General features: G+C 38.0%; 1 protein-coding gene and 1 long non-coding RNA gene across 22 annotated transcripts in view, besides 1 other annotated feature; one reads left to right on the forward strand and one right to left on the reverse strand.

Moving 5' to 3' along the window:
- The window catches only part of ZDHHC15 (zDHHC palmitoyltransferase 15), a 154,611-nt gene extending 141,052 nt beyond the window's left edge, over positions 1-13,559 (reverse strand). For all 12 annotated transcript variants that reach the window (XR_001755658.3, XR_938393.3, XR_007068181.1 and 9 more), the window contains exon 1: positions 13,411-13,559. Coding sequence is in view for 9 of the 12 variants with exons in the window: in NM_001146256.2 (NP_001139728.1) it covers positions 13,411-13,546 (136 nt within the window). In the remaining 3 variants the exon portion in view is untranslated. The remainder of the gene's footprint in view (positions 1-13,410) is intronic.
- The window catches only part of LOC107985664 (uncharacterized), a 270,484-nt gene continuing 258,310 nt past the window's right edge, over positions 13,649-25,822 (forward strand). For all 10 annotated transcript variants that reach the window (XR_007068273.1, XR_001755894.2, XR_007068272.1 and 7 more), the window contains exon 1: positions 13,649-14,176. This is a non-coding gene — a long non-coding RNA (uncharacterized LOC107985664). The remainder of the gene's footprint in view (positions 14,177-25,822) is intronic.
- Positions 13,772-13,851: an enhancer, noted in NCBI's record as "active region_29774". NCBI's record gives its function as "activates an Ori minimal core promoter by ATAC-STARR-seq in GM12878 lymphoblastoid cells {active_cell/tissue: GM12878}" and the evidence as "EXISTENCE:reporter gene assay evidence [ECO:0000049][PMID:35858748]".

Consider the following 25,822-nt stretch of genomic DNA (forward strand, 5'->3'; position numbering starts at 1 on the left):
GTGAAAGGAGAGTAGGAAGTTTGAAAATATCCAGTGAGATAAGCACTCACTTACAACATGAAGTTCTTTTTTAACGAATGACATGTTTGGGAAGAGAGTTTATTATAATGATGTACAGCATATACTTTGGCATGTATTCGTATTTTGGCTCTTGACACTTATTCTGTGACCTTGGTTAATTAATCACTGTGTGCCTCAGTTTCCTCATCTGTAAAACGATAAAATTGGTTATGTTATCAGATTGTTACAAGGATTAAGTAATAACATATGTGTAAAGCACTTGGGTGCTTTGCACATAAGTACTTAATTATTGTTAGCAATTTATAATCATTTTTCTACAAAAATAAATTGTTTAGTGAGGTTACATTTTACAATAAGTTTAGGACAAAACAAGTCTGATTTTAAAAAATGTTATGGTTCCCAGAGTTACATATGATGGTATTAAAATAATTTATTCAGTGTCAAAATGAATAACTTTGATTCCCCCCACTTTTTCTCTTAGATGTTTCTTAGATTCTAGGTTAGGAGAGGGTAGAGTTTGATATAGGGAACTGAGACACATTTCTGAGTGTTTTCTGTTGAAAGTTAGCTAATCAGGTCAGTCTTTATTTACTTCTTTGAAAAAGTTACTCACACCAGCCATTCATTTACTTTTAAGGCAGTCCCTCTCAAACCTGGATGATCGTAATACTTACTTAGGAAGCATAATAAAAATATAGATTCCAGGGCTCTCTTCACATAGCACAACTTTGGATGGAGGTGCAGAAATTTGTATTTGAAAACCTCAGCAGGTGATTCTGAGTTAGGTTTTAAAACCATTGGAGTTATATTAGGCATTTGTTACAACAAGTTACTAGTCAGGTGTGATGATACATTTAACTGTTTGTCATATGAATGACATAAAACTGTTTTAGATGTGGTAATACCATGATTCCTATAGGCTTGAATGGATACTTTTACCTCTATAGAAACTTGGTTTCTAGAAAATGTTTCTTCTGTTTTTTTTTTTTTTTCTGTCTGATCAGTTTATATTTCTTCTCTCTTCGGAAAATTTCTTTTTTTTTTTTTATCTTTTGTCTTTTTATTATTATTATTATTATTATTTTTTAAATTATACTTTAAGTTTTAGGGTACATGTGCACATTGTGCAGGTTAGTTACATATGTATACATGTGCCATGCTGGTGCGCTGCACCCACTAACGTGTCATCTAGCATTAGGTATATCTCCCAATGCTATCCCTCCCCCATCCCCCGACCCCACCACAGTCCCCAGAGTGTGATATTCCCCTTCCTGTGTCCATGTGATCTCATTGTTCAATTCCCACCTATAAGTGAGAATATGCGGTGTTTGGTTTTTTGTTCTTGCGATAGTTTACTGAGAATGATGGTTTCCAATTTCATCCATGTCCCTACAAAGGACATGAACTCATCATTTTTTATGGCTGCATAGTATTCCATGGTGTATATGTGCCACATTTTCTTAATCCAGTCTATCATTGTTGGACATTTGGGTTGGTTCCAAGTCTTTGCTATTGTGAATAATGCCGCAATAAACATACGTGTGCATGTGTCTTTATAGCAGCATGATTTATAGTCATTTGGGTATATACCCAGTAATGGGATGGCTGGGTCAAATGGTATTTCTAGTTCTAGATACCTGAGGAATTGCCACACTGACTTCCACAATGGTTGAACTAGTTTACAGTCCCACCAACAGTGTAAAAGTGTTCCTATTTCTCCACATCCTCTCCAGCACCTGTTGTTTCCTGACTTTTTAATGATTGCCATTCTAACTGGTGTGAGATGATATCTCATAGTGGTTTTGATTTGCATTTCTCTGATGGCCAGTGATGATGAGCATTTTTTCATGTGTTTTTTGGCTGCATAAATGTCTTCTTTTGAGAAGTGTCTGTTCATGTCCTTCGCCCACTTTTTGATGGGGTTGTTTGTTTTTTTCTTGTAAATTTGTTAGAGTTCATTGTAGATTCTGGATATTAGCCCTTTGTCAGATGAGTAGGTTGCGAAAATTTTCTCCCATGTTGTAGGTTGCCTGTTCACTCTGATGGTAGTTTCTTTTGCTGTGCAGAAGCTCTTTAGTTTAATTAGATCCCATTTGTCAATTTTGGCTTTTGTTGCCATTGCTTTTGGTGTTTTGGACATGAAGTCCTTGCCCACGCCTATGAAGAGTCCAGGACCAGATGGATTCACAGCCGAATTCTACCAGAGGTACAAGGAGGAACTGGTACCATTCCTTCTGAAACTATTCCAATCAATAGAAAAAGAGGGAATCCTCCCTAACTCATTTTATGAGGCCAGCATCATTCTGATACCAAAGCCGGGCAGAGACACAACCAAAAAAGAGAATTTTAGACCAATATCCTTGATGAACATTGATGCAAAAATCCTCAATAAAATACTGGCAAACCGAATCCAGCAGCACATCAAAAAGCTTATCCACCATGATCAAGTGGGCTTCATCCCTGGGATGCAAGGCTGGTTCAATATACGCAAATCAATAAATGTAATCCAGCATATAAACAGAGCCAAAGACAAAAACCACATGATTATCTCAATAGATGCAGAAAAAGCCTTTGACAAAATTCAACAACCCTTCATGCTAAAAACTCTCAATAAATTAGGTATTGATGGGACGTATTTCAAAATAATAAGAGCTATCTATGACAAACCCACAGCCAATATCATACTGAATGGGCAAAAACTGGAAGCATTCCCTTTGAAAACTGGCACAAGACAGGGATGCCCTCTCTCACCGCTCCTATTCAACATAGTGTTGGAAGTTCTGGCCAGGGCAATCAGGCAGGAGAAGGAAATAAAGGGTATTCAATTAGGAAAAGAGGAACTCAAATTGTCCCTGTTTGCAGACGACATGATTGTTTATCTAGAAAACCCCATCGTCTCAGCCCAAAATCTCCTTAAGCTGATAAGCAACTTCAGCAAAGTCTCAGGATACAAAATCAATGTACAAAAATCACAAGCATTCTTATACACCAACAACAGACAAACAGAGAGCCAAATCATGAGTGAACTCCCATTCACAATTGCTTCAAAGAGAATAAAATACCTAGGAATCCAACTTACAAGGGATGTGAAGGACCTCTTCAAGGAGAACTACAAACCACTGCTCAAGGAAATAAAAGAGGACACAAACAAATGGAAGAACATTCCATGCTCATGGGTAGGAAGAATCAATATCGTGAAAATGGCCATACTGCCCAAGGTAATTTACAGATTCAATGCCATCCCCATCAAGCTACCAATGACTTTCTTCACAGAATTGGAAAAAACTACTTTAAAGTTCATATGGAACCAAAAAAGAGCCCGCATCGCCAAGTCAATCCTAAGCCAAAAGAACAAAGCTGGAGGCATCACACTACCTGACTTCAAACTATACTACAAGGCTACAGTAACCAAAACAGCATGGTACTGGTACCAAAACAGAGATATAGATCAATGGAACAGAACAGAGCCCTCAGAAATAACACCACATATCTACAACTATCTGATCTTTGACAAACCTGAGAAAAACAAGCAATGGGGAAAGGATTCCCTATTTAATAAATGGTGCTGGGAAAACTGGCTAGCCATATGTAGAAAGCTGAAACTGGATCCCTTCCTTACACCTTATACAAAATCAATTCAAGATGGATTAAAGATTTAAACGTTAGACCTAAAACCATAAAAACCCTAGAAGAAAACCTAGGCATTACCATTCAGGACATAGGCGTGGGCAAGGACTTCATGTCTCTTCGGAAAATTTCTACCTTTCAAGTAGAATTATATCATAGCTATTTTTATTTTTTAATCTCAGAATGGATACTATTGGGCACCAAAACTAAGAGTACTCCAGACTTACATCCCTCCTCAAAAGCAACTAATGAGCTGGCAAAAACTGTCAGAATAAACTTTTGCAGAACTCTGGAATCTAGTAAAATTGTTACAATAACCAGAGAGGAAGACTTGGTGAAGAAAAGAACTGATGCTTTGTAGTAAGAGGATACTGTGACATTTTAAAGTGGCTGCCTACCATCCTCCACATCCCAGATCAGTAGAGGCTGTGAGGACAGCCGCCTACACTCTACTATATACAATAATAGAGCCTACACTCTAATATACAGCCTATATCCTAACATACTAATATACACATAACGGGGCTTCCAAAGTGAGAGGAAAGAGAGGAAAAACAGAAAGAGTATTTGAAAAAATGATGGCTAAAAAACTTCATACATTTGGTAAAAAATATGAATCTAAACATCCAAGAAGTGCAATGAACTCCAAATAGAATAAACTAAAAGATATCCACAATCAGACACATTATAGTCAAATTGCCAAAAAACAAAAAGAAAATCTTGAAAGCAGGAAAATTGACTTTTTACATAACAAAAAAAAAACAATAAGACTAACAGCTGATTTCTCTTAAGAACCCACAGAGGCTAGAAGGCAGTGAAATGTGATATTTAAATTGCTGAAAGAAAAAGAAAAACATCTGTCAACACATATACAGAACTCTATGTCCAGCAACACTATACTTCAAAGAATGAAAGCGAAAACAAGACATTCTCAGATAAACAAAAACTGAGGGAGCTGATCACTAGTAGAATTGCCCTTCAAGAAATGCCAAAGGGCATTCTTTAGAAAAACTGAAAAGGCACTCACTGTAACCCACGCTATACAAAAAAATAAGAACACTGGTAAACTATACAGGTAGCTACAAAAGCAAGTAATATTGAGTTTTACGTTTTTTTTAACTCTTTTTACTATCTAATTTAAAGGAAAAAATGCATAAAACAACAATGATAAATCTACGTTAAGGAGTATACAATGTATAAAGATGTAATTTGTGATAATAGCATAAAGGGGGCAACAGAGCTGTAAACGGCTGGGTTTTGTATACTATTAAATTAAGCTGGTATTCAACAGGATCATTCCAAGATGGCTGAATAGGAACAGCTGCAGTCTACAGCTCCCAGCGTGAGCAACACAGAAGACAGGTGACTTCTGCATTTCCAGCTGAGGTACGAGGTTCATCTCACTGGGACTGGTTGGACAGTGGGTGCAGCCCATGGAGTGTGAGCCGAAGCGGGGCGGGGCATCACCTCACCCAGGAAGCACAAGGGGTCTGGCAATTCCCTTTCCTGGCCATGGGAAACTATGACAGATTGCACCTGGAAAATCGGGACACTCCCGCCCTAATACTGTGCTTTTCCAATGGTCTTAGCAAATGGAACACCAGGAGATTATATCCCATGCAAGGCTCGGTGGGTCTCACGCCCATGGAGCCTTGCTCACTGCTAGTACAGCAGTCCGAGATAGAATTGTGAGGCAGCAGCAAGACTAATAAAGAAGAAAAGAGAGAAGAATCAAATAGACGCAATAAAAAAATGATAAAGGGGATATCACCACTGATCCCACAGAAATACAAACTACCTTCAGAGAATACTATAAACATCTCTATGCAAATAAACTAGAAAATCTAGAAGAAATGGATGAATTCCTGGACACATACACCATCCCAAGACTAAATCAGGAAGAAGTTGAATTCCTGAATAGACCAATAACAGGCTCTGAAATTGAGGCAATAATTAATAGTCTACCAACCAAAAAAAGTCCAGGACCAGATGGATTCATACCCGAATTCTACCAGAGGTACAAAGGGGAGCTGGTACCATTTCTTCTGAAACTACTCCAATAAATAGTAAAAGAGGGAATCCTCCCTAACTCATTTTATGAGGCCAACATCATCCTGATACCAAAGCCTGGCAGAGACACAACAAAGAAAAAAAAGAGAGAGAATTTTAGACCAATATCCCTGATGAACATTGATGCAAAATCCTCAATAAAATACTGGCAAACCGAATCCAGAAGCACATCAAAAAGCTTATCCACCAAGATCCAGTTGGCTTCATCCCTGGGATGCAAGGCTGGTTCAACATATGCAAATCAATAAACGTAGTCCATCATATAAACAGAACCAAAGACAAAAACCACATGATTATCTTAATAGACACAGAAAAGGCCTTTGAAAAAGTTCAACAGCCCTTCATTCTAAAAACTCTCAATAAACTAGGTATTGATGGAATGTATCTCAAAATAGTAAGAGCTATTTATGACAAACCCACAGCCAATATCCTACCGAATGGGCAAAAACTGGAAGCATTCCCTTTGAAAACTGGCACAAGACAGGGATGCCCTCTCTCACCACTCCTATTCAACAACATATTGGAAGTTCTGGCCAGGGCAATCAGGCAGGAGAAAGAAATAAAGGGTATTCAATTAGGAAAAAAGGAAGTCAAATTGTCCCTGTTTGCAGATGATATGATTGTATATTTAGAAAACCCCATCATCTCAGGCCAAAATCTCCTTAAGCTGATAAGCAACTTCAGCAAAGTCTCAGGATACCAAATCAATGTGCAAAAATCACAAGCATTCGTATACACCAATAACAGACAAACAGAGAGCCAAATCATGAGTGAACTCCCATTCACAATTGCTTCAAAGAGAATAAAATACCTAGGAATCCAACTTACAAGGGATGTGAAGGACCTCTTCAAGGAGAACTACAAACCACTGCTCAATTAAATAAAAGAGGACACAAACAAATGGAAGAATATTCCATGCTCATGGATAGGAAGAATCAATATCATGAAAATGGCCATACTGCCCAAGGTAATTTATAGATTCAATGCCATCCCCATCGAGCTACCAATGACTTTCTTCACAGAATTGGAAAAGGCTACTTTAAAGTTCATGTGGAACCAAAAAAAGAGCCTGCATTGCCAAGACAATCCTAAGCCAAAAGAACAAAGCTGGAGGCATCATGCTACCTGACTTCAAACTATACTACAAGGCTACAGTAACCAAAACAGTATAGTACTGGTACCAAAAAAGATATATAGACCAATGGAACAGAACAGAGCCCTCAGAAATAATACCACATATCTATAACCATCTGCTCTTTGTCAAACCTGACAAAAACAAGAAATGGGGAAAGGATTCCCTATTTAATAAATGGTGCTGGGAAAACTGGCTAGCCAGATGTAGAAAGCTGAAACTGGATCCCTTCCTTACACCTTATACAAAAATTAATTCAAGATGGATTAAAGACTTAAATGTTAGACCTAAAACCTTAAAAACCCTACAAGAAAACCCAGGCAATACGATTCAGGACATAGGCATGGGCAAGGACCTCATGACTAAAACACCAAAAGTAATGGCAAGAAAAGCCAAAATAGACAAATGGGATCTAATTAAACTAAAGAGCTTCTGCACAGCAAAAGAAACTACCATCAGAGTGAACAGGCAACCTACAGAATGGGAGAAAATTTTTACAATCTACACATCTGACAAAGGGCTAATATCCAGAATCTACAAAGAACTCAAACAAATTTACAAGAAAAAATCAAACAACTCCATCAAAAAGTGGGCAAAGGATATGAACAGACATTTCTCAAAAGAAGACATTTATGCAGCCAAAAGATACATGAAAAAATGCTCATCATCACTGGCCATCAGAGAAATGCAAATCAAAACCACAATGAGATACCATCTCACACCAGTTAGAATGGCGATCATTAAAAAGTCAGGAAACAACAGGTGCTGGAGAAGATGTGGAGAAATAGGAACACTTTTATACTGTTGGTGGGAGTGTAAACTAGTTCAACCATTGTGGCAGACAGTGTGGTGATTCCTCAAGGATCTAGAACTAGAAATACTAATTGACCCAGAGATCCCATTACTGGGAATATACCCAAAGGATTATAAATCATGTTACTATAAAGACACATGCACAAGTATGTTTATTGCGGCACTATTCACAATAGCAAAGACTTGGAACCAACCCAAATGCCCATCAATGATAGACTGGATTAAGAAAATGTGGCACATATACACCATGGAATACTATGCATCCATAAAAAAGGATGAGTTCATGTCCTTTGTAGGGACATGGATGAAGCTGGAAACCATCATTCTCAGCAAACTATCGCAAGGACAGAAAACCAAACACTGCATGTTCTCAGTCATAGGTGCGAATTGAACAATGAGAACACTTGGACACATGGTGGGGAACATCACACACGGGGGCCTGTCGTGGGGTGGGGGGAGGGGGGAGGGATAGCATTAGGAGAAATACCTAAGGTTAAATGAGGAGTTAATGGGTGCAGCACACCAACATGGCACATGTATACATATGTAACAAACCTGCATGTTGTGCACACGTACCCTAAAACTTAAAGTATAATAATAATAAAATTTTAAAAAAAAGCTGGACTCGTATCTTATGCCAGATATAAAAAATTAACTCAGAATGGCTAAAATACCTAAAGGTGAGAGCTAAAAGTATAAAATTATTATAAGAAAACACAGGGCACACGCCTGTAGCCCCAGCTATTTGAGAGGCTAAGGTGGGAGGATCACTTGAGCCCAGGAGTTTGAGATCAGCCTGGGCAACATAGTGAGGTCCCGTATCAAAAACAAAAACAAAAAAAAACAAAAAACAAACAAACAAACAAAAAACCAAAACCAACCAACCAACCAACCAAACAAAAAAATCCCACAGGGGTAAATCTTTATGCTCTTGCATTTGGTAATGGATTCTTAAATATGACACCAAAAGCATAGGCAACAAAAGAAAAAATAGATAAATTGAATTTTATTAAAATTAAAAATCTTTGTGTATAAAATGATACTATCAAGTATGGGGGAAAATGTTTGCAAATAACGTATCTGATAAAGATCAAGTATTCAGAACATGCAAAAAATATTAAAATTCAACAACAAAAAGACAACCCAATTTAAAAATCCCATTTAAAAAATGGACAATGGCTTGAATAGACATTTTCCCAAAGAAGATATATGGATGGCAAACAAGTACATAAAAAGATACTCAATATTTTTTTCATTATGGAAATACAAATCAAATCCATAATGAGATACCCCTTCACACCCAGTAAGATGGCTATAATAAAAATAAAACTGAAAATAACAAGTCTTGGTGAGAATGTGGACAAATTGGAACCCTTCTGTGCTGCTTGATGGGAATGTAAAATGGTGCAGTCACTGCGGAAGATAGTTTGGAGGTTCCTCAGAAAGTTAAACATAGAATTACCATACAGTCCAATTATCCCCATCCATCTCCCTGGTGTATATACTCAAAATAATTGAAGACAGATATTCAAACAAATACATGAATGTTTGTAACAGCACTATTCAGAAGAGACAAAAGGTAGAAATAGCCCAAATGGCCATTAATGGATGAATGGATAACAAACTGGTATATATATATATATATATATATATATATATATATATACACACACACACACACACACACACACACACACACACACACAATAGACTATTATTCAGCCATTAAAAGGGATAAATTACTGTTACATAATATAATGTGGACCAATTTCAAAAACATTTTGTTAATTGGAAGAAGTCAGACACAAAAGAACACATATTTTATGATTCTATTTATATGGAACATCCATAATAGGTAAATCCATAGAGACAGAATGCAGATTAATAATTGGCTAGGACTTGGGGGAAGAGGGAACAGGGAGTGACTGCTTAATGCTTATGAGGTTTCTTTATGGGATAACAAAAACATTTTGGAACTACATAGAGGTGATGGCTGCACAACATTGTGAGTGCTAAATGGCACTGAGGCGAACACTTAAAAATGGTTAATTTTATGTTATATAAATTTCACCCCAATAAAATGGATACTGTTACTTTCCCTCCTCTCTAAAAAGCTAAGCTTCTTATTTTCCTGGGTCAGGAAGAATCCTTTATTTCTTTACTAATCACAAGTTACTATCTAATGAGCTCTTATAATGTGTTGTGAACTGTGATGCATGCTTTTCAGGCATCATGTTATTTGAGCCTCACAGCAGTAATACCTGGCATATACTGAGTGCTAAGCAACCATTTGTCATATGGATGAACAACTGTAGAAGCAAGGTACATGTGAGACAACTGAGGTTGAGAGAGTGAAGTTACTTGCCCCAGGTCTCCAGGCTAGTAAATGGCAGAATTCAAACTCTAAGAATTAAAGGACAAAAACATCTCTTTTGGTTTCAGCTCTAATGTAACGTTAGGGAGAAAGACATCAGGTTTTATCCCTGGAAAGAAGTTAGGTCCTTAATGTTACTTTTTGAGACATATTGAAATGCAAATTTGTTAATTTATTTGTGTTGGAAAAGGTATGGCCTTGGTATCAGGCAGCCTGGATTTCCAACTCTTCACTATTACTAAATGTGTGGCCTTAGGAAAATTTGATTTAACCTTTCCAAAACCCAGGTTGCTAATTTGTTACAAGATTGTTAAACTGATGATGGCAGGAGGGACTGGTTCAGCCAGAGTTGAAAGTCAAAGCTGCCTTATTCTCCTGACTTTTAAATAATGGGAACTGATGCAAAATGTTAAGAAAACACTGTGCAGGCCAGGCAAAATATATCTGAAGGCTACATCTGGCTTGTATGTCACAAAGTTTTTACCTCTGCATTAGTTTAGAGGAGACTGTGGCAACATACTGCCTGGGTTTTAAGTTTGGCCATTTACTAGCTCTGTGACCTTAGGTAAGCTACTTATTCTGTCTGTTCCTCAGTTTACAAACAAGTAATGATAGTATATACATTGGAAAGTTGTTATAAAGATTAAGTGTCTGTGTGTGTAGTCACCTAGAAATAGTACTTGGCATGTAGCAGTGTGGTGCAAGTATGTTAACTAAAACAAACAAATAAGTCCTACGCTTCCTTTCATCTGTTAATATTACATGACTAAAGAAGAACTTATAGAAGGCCAATTATTTGCAGTAACTTGGTCTTTACCTTGGTTTGCTCATCTGTGCCTCAGTTTACACATTTGTACAATGGAAACAGTAATGGTACCTGCCTCATATAGTTATTGTGATGATTAAATGAATTAATATATAGTTAATCTATCTACAGAACTTAGAACATTTTCTGGCACAGAGTAAGCAATACATAAGTGTTAGTCATTATCATCATTAATTTTTAAAATATATCTTGGTGAAGCTCATATGAGTCAATACTGAAAAACTCCAAAATAAGTTGTTTACAATATGGCATTGATCCTAGGAGCAATGTCCATACCATAATAATGGTGCTGAACTTTTGACCCTTCAATCAATCATTCAAAAAGCCAAAGTAGTAAGGTCTGAGAATAGAAAAGCTTCCCAGTCATTGCATAGTCTACTTAATGCATCCCAATACTGGATTGAGATACAAAAGAAAACTAGGCTAACTTGTATCTATGAAGGCAACTAATGACATTTATTTTAAGAGCTCTTTCTGCATTTTCCATAATATCTCTAAGGAAGAGGTAAAAAAAATTCCAATTGTGATTCAGAGAGGTAATTAGAATTAGAATATAGGAAATTATAGAATTAGAATATAGAAAGTTCTATATTGGAAAAGAGGATCATCTCCTGCCTCCCTAGTTTATCCCAGTCTACCTGGGGTAGACTATTGCTTTGCAAATATGTAACAGAAGAAAATTACAAATGGAGTCAGGTCCCGGAGTTCAAAAAAGCAGCATCCTTACCATCATTTTTAAGGTGAGAAGAGTTTGGTATGAAAAAATAAAGAAGTCTCAGAAGGACTTGGGAGTGAGGGGATGTCCAATGGGTCAGGAGTCCTACTGTGAGAGGAGTATAAACATATTGGAGCCCCAAACTAGATGAATAGGGAACATTGTAGGCCACAAGTTTAAGGGTGCTGGCGATGGAATTACAGTGTCGAAGTGACAAGACTGACAAGTATTAGTGGAATCTCTTTTGAGAGGAGACAGGGATTCTTCAATGTGAGAAGACAGGGACAAGGGGAGATTTTACTGTGAGAAAAGCAGGGACCCTATTGTAACAAGACAGGATATAATATGAAAACGCCATTGTGAGTTGATGAGAGCATTGCAAGGCCAATAATAATAAGAATGGGGAACGGGGGGAATTAAAGTGGAAAGTGGGAATAATATAAGGGAGAGACTTGGGGTTTGTGTCGGGAAATATTGTAGAATTCTGAGTTTGAATGCACAAGCTATACTGTGAGAACCATTTTGCAAATAAGGAGGATATAGAGTGCTCCTTAGTGTGACAGGACAGGGTAAAAAAAGATCATAGAATTATAAAAGGGGTAGTCTAATGAGAGGGAATGAGAAATGATATGCCCATTGGGAGGAGTAGAAAATATTAGAAACCCCAGTAAGAAAGAATGGGGTTTCCCCAGTTTGAGAAGATGGGACAAGTGCAATCCAATGAGAAGTAAGAAGAAATAATAATAAGAAATCCCAAAGGAAGTGGATGGCAGAATGTGGGGCTAAAAGTGAAAGAACACTGTGGGAGGTGGGGAGTGGGTTTCCTAAAAAAGATAACGAGGAATAATGATTAGAAAAGTAGCGGCCCTTTGATGGAATAGGAGATAAATTACGGAAACCCTTGTGGGAGGGTAAAAGAGGTGACTCTAGTGGGAGAAGGCACTATCATCATGTGACAATAGCAGGGTCACCAGTATAAGGTGTCAGAAAATAATGTGGGGCTCCTAATGGGAAGGAGTCGAATGCTCCTCAAAGCAAGAAGGCAGGAGACTGGAGGGAACTCCAGTATAATATAATCAGGGCCTCTCATGTGAGAGAGGATGTATTATAGAATACCAATCCCATTAAAGAAAATGATTAAATGGGGGGAGCCCACAGGGAAAGAGAATGGAGGGCTTACCACTGTGTGAAAACGGAAGATCTTAATGGAGTAGAATAGGGTGCACTGTGGGATCACAAGTGGACAAAGATATGAAGCACTTCAGCCAGTGTGAGAGGATCACGGGAAAACGATAGATTCCAGTGTGTGAAAAAGGAGAGCTAGTAAGAGAGTAGAGGAAATATTTTGGAACTCTCAGTAGGAAATCCCTAGTAGGAAATCCTAGTAGGATTCTAGTAGGAGGGAAAATGGTGGGGCTCCTAGTTGGATGCATTGGTGAGATTCCTAGTGTGAGCAAACAGTTTAAAGACACAGGGTATGTTGTTTCCTCAACTTGGTACAGTAGGGGCTCCCAGAAGGAGAGCACAAGGTGCAGATGGTTGCCCTGTATGAGAAAAGGGAGCCCTCGTGGGAAGAGCCAGGACATTATTGTGGGTAGGGCAAAGAAATAAGAAACCCTAGGTGGGAGACGATGGAGACACGGCGGGACCCTGGTGGGAGGGCGCAGGAAATATTGTGGGAAGCCAGAGGCTGGGGACAAGGAACTCTCCAGGGAGAGAAAGGAAAACCGCAGAGAGAAGGCTTGAGAACACAAGGGACACCAGTGTGAAGGTAGGGCAAACGATTATATTGGAGTATAATTTCCCCACCTTAGGTGCCCAGCCCCACTTACCCAGGCAGAGTTCAAAGACGTAGGCATAGTAGGACCAGAGCACGACGAGGACAATAACGAGCACTGGCACCCAGGACAGTACCCGGCGGCAGCACCGCAGCCCCCCAGACAGAGCCATCTTCCAGCCTCGCCGCATCTTTGGCTCGAAGATCGACCAAGCAGGCCTGCTGGCGCCGGGTCGGAACCGCTAGGGTGGCGGCTGCGAGGCTGGAAGGCGCGCTGTGCGGCACTCCACTGTCTAGCCTGGCGGGAACCCTCTCGCGGAGCCTTCGCCACCTGTGGGGCTGCGCTGCTGAGTGCGCCCTGCCTGGCACAACAGGCTTGAGTCACGGCGTTGAGGAACTAGCCATGTTGGAGCGGAAGGGTGATCCGTCAGGCAGTCGGAGCTAGCACGCTCAGAGGGAGTGCAGTCCCTCCCCTTTCTGCCTCCTCCCCACCCTGTTTCAAGGCTGGATGCAGGGCTAGACCTCCGCAAAATCGTGAAGCCGAAGAAATTTGGGTCCGCCCATCTGCTCTTACTGCACTGCGTCCGCCCTCTTTGTTTCTGTCTCAGTCTCTCTGTCTCCCTTCGTTCTCTTTCTCTCCCCCTGCTACCCCCCCCCACAGTTACACACACACACACACACACACACACACACACACACACACACACGCAGTGTGAAAGATGCGAGCCATAGCATCTCGTAACATGAAGGCCATCCAGCTCCATCCTCCCACTGCTGCTTGAACAATATGCTTAACACGTAGTGCCGCAGTCGCTGCTTGGGTAAGTCCTTTGACAGGGCACTCCCTCCTTCCCTTTTCCCTCCCCGCAGAATCAGCTTAGTATGTTTTTAGAACAAACACATTGGTATAAAAAAACAAATGAGGGAGACTGATTCTGAGAGGGGTCAGGGAAAGCTACAAAGGTAGCGATATTTAAGCTGAGCTATATTAATAAATTCAGGTTTTCCAGGCAGATGAGAGGAGGAGGACCTTTTAGACAGAGGAAACAGCATTTACAAAGTCATAGAGTAATGAAAGTCCAAAAATGTTCCAGGAGCAGCTAGTGTGGCTTGAAGAGTGTTTGTGAAGAAGAGAGGCTAAGAATGAGACTGGGAGTATGAGGCCATGGTGTGAAGGCTCTTATATGTCCTAGCATGGCATGGGGACATAATCATGTAAAGCAGATTATGAAGAGCCATCAAAGGTTTGGGGGAAATGGAGTGACATCAGGGATATGTTTTTGTGAAATAACTGGCAGGATTTTGGAAAGGAAGATGGCCTTGAAGTAGGAAGATCAATTAGGAGGTAATTTAATTCAACAAATGTTTTTGGAGTGGTTGCTTCCTGTTAGATCAACTTTGGTACAAAAAGAATGACAAAATAGTGGGCCTGACCCCAAGAAGCTCATGTTCTCATTGGGGCTGTAGTTGTTCATTGACACAAGTACAATAATAGAAGTACAGCAGGCTCTTGGCATTTATGGATTTGACACTCACTGTTTTTCCCAAAGGTCTTTTACATGGAGAAATTTGTGATTTTGCTGAGATGCATGTGTGATTCACATTCTGTGTGACTACTGTGTGGGAGCAAGTGTCTCTACGAGGTTGATCTCTGTTCTTTATTTATGGTTATATATGCAGTAAATTACCTGAAGTGATAAAAGATTTATTGTTTCTTTTCAGATTAAGCTAATTTTATGGTTGATGTTACTAAATTCATGATGCAATGAAATGCAGAGTTCATTTTAGTTACAATATTTAGTAGCCTAGTTAATTATTTGAGCCCTAAGTTTCTGACATGTATACTTAAATTTTCCAATATTCATAATTCGGGGCTTGTGGAACATGTATATTGGGATTGTCAAGGGTATACTATTTAAACCAAGTAGCCTTGAGGAGGCAATGATTAAGTGTGAAAGGGAAAGTCCCAGTTGGGTTTTGAATAATGACTAGGATTTCACCAGGAAGATAAGAGATGGGAGCAGGATTTAAGGGAGGAGGGGATTCCAGGCAAAAGGAAATATGTAGTGGCAAATGTATGCGAAACAGCACAACATACTTGGGGGACTGCAAGTAGCCCGCTTTTGCTGGAAGATATTAACAGTACTCTAACCAAGAGATGGTAAGAGCCTAGGCCTAAGCCAGGCTATGAAGGGAAGGAGAGGAGGGGAAAGATGTAATAGTGTTTGGGGAAATCAACAGAATTTGTCAACCAGTTGGCAGGTGAGGAGTGAGATAAGTTAAAGCTAACAGCCAGATTTCTAACTTCAATGCCTGAATGAACAATGTTGCCAATCACTATGATAGGGGCTATTGTGAGAAGAGCAGAGTTCGTGGGGGAAGTTGATAACTTTCACGTTTTGACATGATTAATTTTGCCTAAGTCTTCCTCTTCTAAGGTAGCCCGATCACTAATCAAATAGTCTGGGGCCGGGGGGCTTATGACAGGGATAGCTCACACCCAAAGGAGCATGGAGGGCCAAGAACCAGAGAGACAAACCATGTTCAAGTGTATACATCAAGGATTGGCAAACTATGCCTATGGGCCAAATATGGCCCACTGACTTTTTATGAATGAAGTTTTATTGGAACACATTCATGTCAATTTGTAGTCTATGGCTGTTTTGTACAATGCTGAGTTGGAGTAGTTGTGACATAGGTCATATAGCATGCAAAGCCTACATTTATTTAAATTTATTTTTAAAGACTTTATTTATTAGAGCAATGTTAGATTAACAGCAAAATTGAAAGGAAGGTTCAAAGATTTCCCATATAACCCCTACCACCACATGCATAGCCACCTCCATTATCAACATCCCCCACCAGAGTAGTACATTTGTTAGAATCTGTGAATCAGCATCAACATATATTTATCATCCAAAGTCCATAGTTTCTATTAGCATTCACTATTGGTGTTGTACAGTCTGTAGGTTTGGATGAATATATAATGACTTGTATCCACCATTACAATCTCATATAGAATATTTTTGCTGCCCTAAAACTCCTCTGTGTTCTACCTGTTCATCTCTCCCTCTCCACAACTCTTGGAAACTATTGATTTTTTTTGTTTTTTTTTACTGTTTCCATAGTTTGCCTCTTCCAGAATGTCATATAGTTGGAATGATACAGTATGTAACCTTTGCAGATTGGCTTCTTTCACTTAGTAATATGCATTTAAGATTCCTCCATGTCGTTTCATGGCTTGATAACTCATTTCTTATTAGTGTTGAATAATATTCCATTTTCTGGATGTACCACAGTTTATTTATACACTCACTCACTGAAAGACATCTTGGTTGCTTCCAAATTTTGGTTGTTATGAATAAAGCTGCTATAAACATCCATGTGCAAGTTTTTGTGTGGACGTAGGTTTTCACCTTATTTGGGTAAATACCAAGGACTGAGATTGTTGGATCATGTGGTAAGAGTATATTTAGTTTTGTAAGAAACTGCCAAAGTGTTTTCAAAAGTAGCTGTACTATTTTGTGTTTCCAGCAGAAATGACTGAGAGTTCCTGTTGCTCTACATCCTTGCTAGAATTTGGTGAGGCCAGTGTTCTGGATTTTGGCCATTGGAAAAGTCTGTAGTGGTATTTCATTGTTTTAATTTGCACATCTCTGATGACATATAGTGTGGAGCATCTTTTTGTATGTTTATTTGCCATCTATATATCTTCTTTGGTGAGGTGTCTGTTCAGGTCTTTAGCCCTTTTTTTGAGATGCTTGCTTTCTTATTGTTTAATTTTAAATAATTTTTGTGTATTTTAGATTACAGCTCTTTATCATGTGTCTTTTGCAAATATTTTCTTTCAGCATGTGGCCTTTTTATTCTCTTGATAGTGTCTTTAGCAGAGCAACTTTTTTATTTTAATGAAGTCCAGCTTATTAATTCTTTCTTTCATGGATTGTGTCTTTGGTGTTCCATCTAAAAAGCCATCACCAAACCCAAGGTTATCTGGATTTTCACATATGTTACATTCTGGGAGTTATACAGTTTTGTGTTTTATATTTAGGTGTGTAATCCATTTTGAGTTAATTTTTATGAAGGGTGTAAGGTCTGTGTCTAGATTTATATTTTTTGCATGTGGATATCCATTTGTTCCAGAACCATTTGTAAAAATGATGATCCTTCCTAGCACTTCGGGAGGCCGAGGCCAGTGGATCACCTGAGGTCAGGAGTTCGAGACGAGCTTGGCCAACATGGTGAAACCCTGTCTCTACTAAAAATACAAAAACTAGCCAGGTGTGATGACATGCGCCTGTAATGCCAGCTACTCAAGAGGCTGAGGCAGGAAAATTGCTTGAACCCAGGAGGTGGAGGTTGCAGTGAGCCAAGATTGCATCACTGCATTCCAGCCTGGGAGACAGAGCAAGACTCCGTCTTTAAAAACAAAATAAAACAAAACAAAACAAAACAAAACAAACAAGGTCTTTTCTCCATGGTATTGCATTTACCCCTTTGTCAAAGATCAGGAGATTTTATTTATGTAGGTCTATTTCTATTTCCAGGTTCTCTATTTTTTCCACTGATCTGTTTGTCTATTATTTCATCAATATCACAGTGTCTTGATTATTGTTGCTTTATAGTAAGTCTTGAAATTGGCTAGTGTCAGTCCTCTAACATTGTTCTTTTTCAATATTGTGGTGTTCTGGTTATTTTGCCTCTCCATAAAAACTTTAGAACGAGTTTGTTGATATCCACAAAGTAATTTGCTGGGATTTTGATTGGGATTGCATTGAATCTATGGATTGGGAAGAACTGACATCGTGATAATATTGGGTCTTCCTATCCATGAACATGGAACACCTTTCCATTTATGTAGTTCTTCTTTGATTTCATCAGAATTTTGTAGTTTTCCTCATATAAATCTTCTACATATTTTGTTAGATTTCCACGTAAGTATTTCATGCTAATGTAAATGGGATTTCCACTTAAGTATTTCGTGCTAATGTAAATGGGATTGTGTTAGTAATTTCAAATTCCACTTGTTCATTGCTGCTTTATAGAAAACTGATTGACTTTTGTATATTCACCTTGTGTCCTTCGACTTTCCTATAATTGCTTATTAGCTCCAGCTTTTCCGTTGATTCTTTCAGATTTTCTGCATAAACAATCATGTAACTGATGAACAAAAACAATGTTATTTCATCCTTCCAAATTAGTATTCCTTTTGTTTCATTTTCTTGTCTCATTGCATTAGCTAGGACGTCCAGTATGTTATTGAAAGGATGACAAGAGGGTCATCCTTGCTCATGGACATCCTTGCCCTGTTCCTGATTTTAATGGGAAAGATTCTATTTTCTTACCATTAAACATGATGTTAGTTACAGGGCTTTTAAAATAGAAATTCTTATTACATTAAGGAAGTTCCCCTCATTTCCTAAGATTTCTAAAATTTTAAAAAAATTATGAATAGATGTTGGATTTTGTCAGATGTTTTATTTGCATCTAATGATATGATCATGTGATTTTTCTTCTGTAGCCTGTTGATGGTATGGATTACATTAATTGATATTCTAATGTTGTACCAGCCTTGTATACCTGGAATAAATCTCACTTGATTGAGGTTTATACTTATTTTTATACATTGGGTTTGATTTGCTAGTATTTTTTTGAGAATTTTTGCATCTATGTTCATTAGAGATATTGATCTATAGTTTTCTTCTCTTGTAGTGTCTTTGCCTGGTTTTTGGTATTAGGGTGATGCTGGCCTGATAGAATGTGTTAGGAAGTATTTCCTCTGCTTCTATAATTTGAAAGAGATTGTACAGGATTGGTATAATTTCTTCCTTAAACGTTTTGTGGAATTCACCAGTGAACCCATCAGGGCCTGGTGATTTCTGTTTTGGAAGGTTATTAGTCATTGATTCAATATCATCAATAGATATAGCCCTATTCAGATTGTTTATTTCTTTTTCTTAATTTTTAATTTTATTTTTTGGTTCTTTTTAAAAATTTCAATAGTGATAGGGGTACAAGTGATTTTGGGTTACATGGATGAATTATATAGTGGGGAAGTCTGAGATTTTAGTGCACCTGTCACCCAAGTACTGTGCATTGTACCCAATATGTAGTTTTTTGTCCCTAATCCTCCTCCAACTCTCCCCTCTTCTGGGTTTCCAGTGTCCATTAAGCCACTCTGTATGTCCTTGCATACACATAGCTTAGTTCCCACTTATAAGTGAGAACATATGGTGTTTGGTTTTTCATTCCTGAGTTACTTCACTTAGAATAATGGCCTCCAGTTTCATCCAAGTTGCTGAAAATTACATTATTTCATTCTTTTTTATGGTTGAGTAGTATTCCTTGGGGTGTGTGTGTGCATATATATATATATATATGGCATTTTATTTATTCATTCATCAGTTGATGGGCACTTAGGTTGGTTCCATGTCTTCACAGTTGTGAATTGTGCTGCAATAAACATACATGTGCAGATTTCTTTTCTTTTTATTTTCTTTTATTTTATTATTATTATACTTTAAGTTTTAGGGTACATGTGCACAATGTGCAGGTTTGTTACATATGTATACATGTGCCATGTTGGTGTACTGCACCCATTAACTCATCATTTAGCATTAGGTATATCTCCTAATGCTATCCCTCCACCCTCCCACTACCTCACAACAGTCCCCGGAGTGTGATGTTCCCCTTCCTGTGTCCATGTGTTCTCGTTGTTCAATTCCCACCTATGAGTGAGAACATGTTGTGTTTGGTTTTTTTGTCCTTGCGATAGTTTGCTGAGAATGATGATTTCCAGTTTCATCCATGTCCCTACAAAGGACACGAACTCATCATTTTTTATGGCTGCATAGTATTCCATTATAATGGCTTCTTTTCCTTTGGGTAGATATCTAGTAATGGAATTGCTGGATCAAATGGTAGATATACTTTTAGTTATTTGAGAAATCTACATACTCCTTTCCATAAAAAGTTTTACTAATTTATGTTCTCACCAGCAGTGTGTAAGTGTTTCTTCTTCACCACATGAGCATAGGATATATTTCCATTTGTTTGTGTCATCTATGATTTCTTTCGCCTCCTTGGTTAATACTCCTATGTATTTCATTTTATTTTTTCCAGCTGTTGCAAAAGGAAGTGAGTTATTGATTTGATTCTCAGCTTAGTCGTTGTTGGTGTATAGCAGTGCCACTGATTTATGCATATTGATTTTATAACCTGAGACTTTACTAAATTCATTTATCAAACCTAGGAGATTTTTTGGAGGAGTCTTTGGGGTTTTCTCGGTATACAATCATATCAGCAAACAGAGGTAGTTTGACTTCCTCTTTTCCAGTTTGGGTGCCCTTTATTTCTTTCTCTTATCTGATTGTTCTGGCTAGTATTTCCAGTACTATGTTGAATAAAAGTGTTGAATGTGGGCATCCTTGTTGCATTCCTGTTCTCAGGGAATGATTTCAATTTTTCCTCATTCAGTATAGTGCTGGCTGCGGGGTTTTTTATGTATGGCTTTTATTATCTTGAGGTACGTCCCTTCTATACCTAGTTTGTTGAGGGTTTTTAACATAAAGGGATGATGGAATTTATCAAATGCTTTTTCTGAATCTGTTGACTTGCATGTGTTGAACCATCCCTGCATCCCTGGGATAAAACTCACTTGATAATGGCTAATTAACTTTTCAATGTTGAATTTGGTTCGCTAGTATTTTGTTGAGTATTTTTGCATCTATGTTCGTCAGGGATATGGGTGTGTTGTTTTCTTCTTCTTATCATGTCCCTTCTTGGCTTTGGTATTGGGGAGATACTGGTTTCATAGAATGAATTAGGGCATATTTGCTCTTTCTCAGTCTTTTGAAATAGTTTCAGTAGTACCCAATTCTTCGAATGTTGGGTAGAATTTGCATGTGAATCCATCTGGCCTTGGGCTTTTTTTTTCCTGACAAATTCTGTATTACTGATTCAATATCACTGCTTGCTATTGGTCTGTTCAGGATTTCTATTTCTGATTCAAGCTAGGAGGGATGTATGTTTTCAGGAATCTATTCATTTTCTCCAGATATTCTAGTTTGAGTGCATAGAGGTGTTCATAATAATCTCAGATGGATTTTTTATACTTCTGTGCTGTTGGTTGTAAGTCTTCACTTTCATTTTCCATTAAGCTTATTTGAATCTTTTCTTTTTGTTTCTGGGTTAATCTACCTAATAGTCTATTGATGTTGTCTTTTCAAAAAACAGTTTTCTGTTTCATTGATCTTTGGTATTGTGTTTTTTATTTTTTATTTTTAATTTCAGTTAGTTCTGCTCTGATCCTTGTCATTTTTTTTTCTTCTGCTAGCTTTGGGTTTGTTCTTCTTTCTCTAGTTCCTTGAGATGTGTTGTAAGTTTGTCAATTTGTGAGGTTTCAGATATTTTGCTGTAGGCATTTAGTGCTGTAAACTTTTTTCTTAGCATGGCTTCTGCTTTATTTCAGGAGTTATGATAAGTTGCATCACTGTTATCATTAATTTCAAAGAATTTTAAAATTTACATCTTGATTTTATTAACCCCAAAATTATTCAGGAGCAGATTGTTCAATTTTCATGTATTTGTATAGTTTTCAGGGTTCCTTATGTAATTGATTTCTGGTTTTATTCCGCTGTGGTTTGAGAAGATACTCTAAATGATTTTGATTTTTAAAAATTTATTGAGACTTATTTTGTGTCCTGTTGTATGCTCAATCTTGGAGAATGTTCCGTGTGCTGACGAGAAGAAGGTATATTCTGCAGTTATTGATAGAATGTTCTGTAGATATCTGTGTAGTCCATTTGTTCTAGAGTACAGTTTAAATTCAGTGTTTCTTTGTTGAATTTCTGCCATGATGATCTGTCTAGTGCTGTCAGTGGAGTCTTTTTTTTTTTTTTTTTTTTTGAGACAGAGTGTCGCTCTGTTGCCCAGGCTGGATGGAGTGCAGTGGCGCGATCTCGGCTCACTGCAAGCTCCGCCTCCCGGGTTCACACCATTCTCCCGCTTCAGCCTCCCAAGTAGCTGGGACTACAGGTGCTTGCCACCACGCCTGGCTAATTTTTTTGTATTTTTAATAGAGATGGGGTTTCACCGTGTTAGTCAGGATGGTCTTGATCTCCTGACCTCGTGATCTGCCTGCCTTGGCCTCCCAAAGTGCTGGGATTACAGGCGTGAGCCACCGCGCCTGGCCATGTGCTGTCAGTGGAGTCTTAAAGTCACTCACTGTTATTGTGTTGCTGTCTACTGATCTCCTCAAGTCAAGTAGTAATAGTTTTATGAATCTGGGAACTCCCGAGGTAGGTTCATACATATTTAAGATTGTAATATTTTCTTGTTGGATTGATTCTCTTATTATTATCATTACCGTTGCTGCTTTAAAATGTGCTTCATCTGATATAATAATAGGACTTACTGCTCACTTTTGGTTGTCTTTTGCATGGAATATTGTTTTCCACCCTTTTACCTTGAGTCTATAAAAATCCTTACATGTTAGGTGTGTGTCTTGAAGACAGCAGATACTCAGTTTATAATTTCTTTTTTAAGATGGAGTCTTGCTCTGTTGCTAGGCTGGAGTGCAGTAGTGCGATCTCGGATCACTGCAACCTCCACCTCCCTGGTTCAAGCGATTCTCCTACCTCAGCCTCCCAAGTAGCTGGGACTACAGGCACGCACCACCACACCCAGCTAATTTTTGTATTTTTAGTAGAGATCAGTTTGTGATTTTTAAAATCCATTCCACCAATCTGTATCTTTTAAGAAGAGCATTTATATCACATATATTCAACATTAATATTGAGATGTGAGGTACTACTCGAGTCATTATGTTGATTGCTACTTAGTTACATTGTTTTCTTCATTGTGTTATTCTTTCATAAGCCCTGTGAGTTTTATGCATTCAAGAGGTTCTCTTCTGGTGCATATCGACCTTTTGTCTTAATCCTTAGAACTTTTAGCATTTCTTGTAGGGCTGGTCTTGTAGTGTCAAATGCCCTCAGCATTTGCTTGAAAAATCTTTATTTCTCCTCCATTTATAAAACATAGTATTGCTGGATAAAAATTTATTGGTCAATAGTTATTTTGTTTAAGGAAGCCAAAGCTAGGACCCCAATCCCTCCTGGCTTGTCAGGTTCCTGCTGAGAAGTCTGCTGTTTGATAGGTTTTCCTTTATAGGTTGCCTTATGCTTTTGTCTTGCTGCTCTTAGAATTCTTTTCTCCCTTAGACCCTCTTGTATTTGGATGTATAAATCTCTATCAAGGCCAGGGAGGTTTTCCTCAATTATTTCCTCAAGCAAGTTTTTCAAAGTTTTTGCTTCTTCTTCAGAACACCAGTGATTCTTAGGTTTGGCAATTGTACATAGTCCCACATTTCTTGGAGACTTTGTTCTTTTATTTATTTATTTATTGTCTAATTGGACTAATTAAAAAACCTTTTTTGAGCTCTGAAATTCTTTCTCTTTGGTATAGTGTATTGTTAAAATTTTCCATTGCATTTTGTAATTTCCTAAATGTGTCATTTACTTCCAAAATTTCTAATTTTTTATTCTTCATCTTTTTTTAGTATTCATGATATGTTTCTGCATTGTTTGAATTTCTTTACAATTTAGCCATATATATTCATCATTTATCTCTCTGTGTGTACACTCAGCTCCTGGCTACGTCTTTGGACGTGTCTTCCTAAGGACTAGTATGAGAACATATGAGGTGTACACCTAGGAGTGGGGTTTCTGGTTCCTTGGGGTGCTCATTCTTGATTTCCTTGAGTAGGCAACAATGTAGGTTTGCATCTGCAGGGTCTGAGGGTTCTCAGATCTTCATATCATGTCCAACACTTAGTATTATATGACTTTCTAATGTTTTTCAATTGGATGGGTACAATTTGGTATTCATTGCTTTGTTTTATGTTTCTGTGTTTTCTACTGAAGTTGAGCCTCTGTCTCTGTTTTTTTTTTTTTTTTTGGAGCAGGGGGACCAAGTCTCACTCTGTCGCCCAGGCTGGAGTGCAGTGGTGTGATCTCGGCTCACTGCAACCTCCACCTCCTGGGTTCAAGCGATTCTCCTGCCTCAGCCTCTTGAGTAGCTGGGATTACAGGCGCCCACCACCATGACCAGCTAATTTTTGTATTTTTAATAGAGACCAGGTTTTGCCATATTGGCCAGGCTGGTCTTGAACTTCTGACCTCTGGTGACCCACCTGCCTTGGCCTCCCAAAGTGCTGGGATTACAGGCGTGAGCCACCACACCTGGCCAGTATTTCTTTTTTTTTTTTCTTTTTCGTTTTTTCTTTTTTTTGACTCTTTATTTCCATTTTAGTGATCATTCAGCATATGATAGAGCCATTATAGTATTTATACAATAATGATAACAATAATTATTCTTTGTTTGCCAACATCTATCTTCAAATCAAAATAGTGAGATACTCAATTTCTCTATAAATAGACCAGCCTAGTTTTGATAATGCATATAATGAAACATTTAATTATGTATTGTACTTTTTAAAGATTATTTAGAGTATTTTTTATTTCAGTAGTTTTTGGGGAACAGGTGGTGTTTGGTTACATGCCTATGTTCTTTAGTGGTGATTTCTGAGATTTTGGTGTACCCATCACCGAGCAATGTACACTGCACCCATTGTGTAGTCTTTTATTCTTCACCCACCTCCCAACCTTCCCCTTGAGTCCCCAGAGTCCAATATATTATTCTTATCCTTTTGCACCCTCATAGCTTAGCTCCCACTTATAAGTGAGAATATAAAATGTTTGGGTTTCCATTTCTGAGTTACTTCATGTACAATAATGGTCTCTAACTCCATCCAGGTTGCTGTGAGTGCAATTATTTCATTTTCTTAGGGCTGAGAAGTATTCCGTGGTATATATATATGTATATATAAATATATCACATTTTCTTTATCCACTCGTGGGTTGATGGGCATTTAGGCTGGTTTCATAATTTTGTAACTGTGAATTGTGCTGCTATAAACATGTGTATGCAAGTGTTTTTTTCATATAATGACTCCTTGTTCTCTGGGTAGATACTACAGTAGTGGGATTGCTGGATCAAATGGTAGATGTACTTTTTGTTCTTTAAGAAATCTCCATATTGTTTTCCATAGTGGTTGTACTAGTTTACATTCCTACCAGCAGTGTAGAAGTGTTCCCTTTTCACCATATTCATGCCAGCATCTATTTTTTTTTTATTTTTAAATTATGGCCATTCTTGCAGGAGTAAGGTGGTATCTCATTGTGTTTTTGATTTGCATTTCTCTGATAATTAGTGATTTTGAACTTTTTTTTAATGTTTGTTGGCCATTTGTGTATCTTCTTTTGAGAATTATCTATTCATGTCCTTAGCCCACTTTTTGATGGGGTTATTTGCTTTTTTCTTGCTTATTTGTTTTGAGTTCCTTGTAGATTCTGGATATTAGTCCCTTGTCAGATACATAGTTTATGAGTATTTTTTCCCACTTT

This window comes from Homo sapiens, chromosome X (genome assembly GCF_000001405.40).
Source record: "Homo sapiens chromosome X, GRCh38.p14 Primary Assembly".
In the NCBI taxonomy this organism is placed as follows: Eukaryota; Metazoa; Chordata; class Mammalia; order Primates; family Hominidae; genus Homo; species Homo sapiens.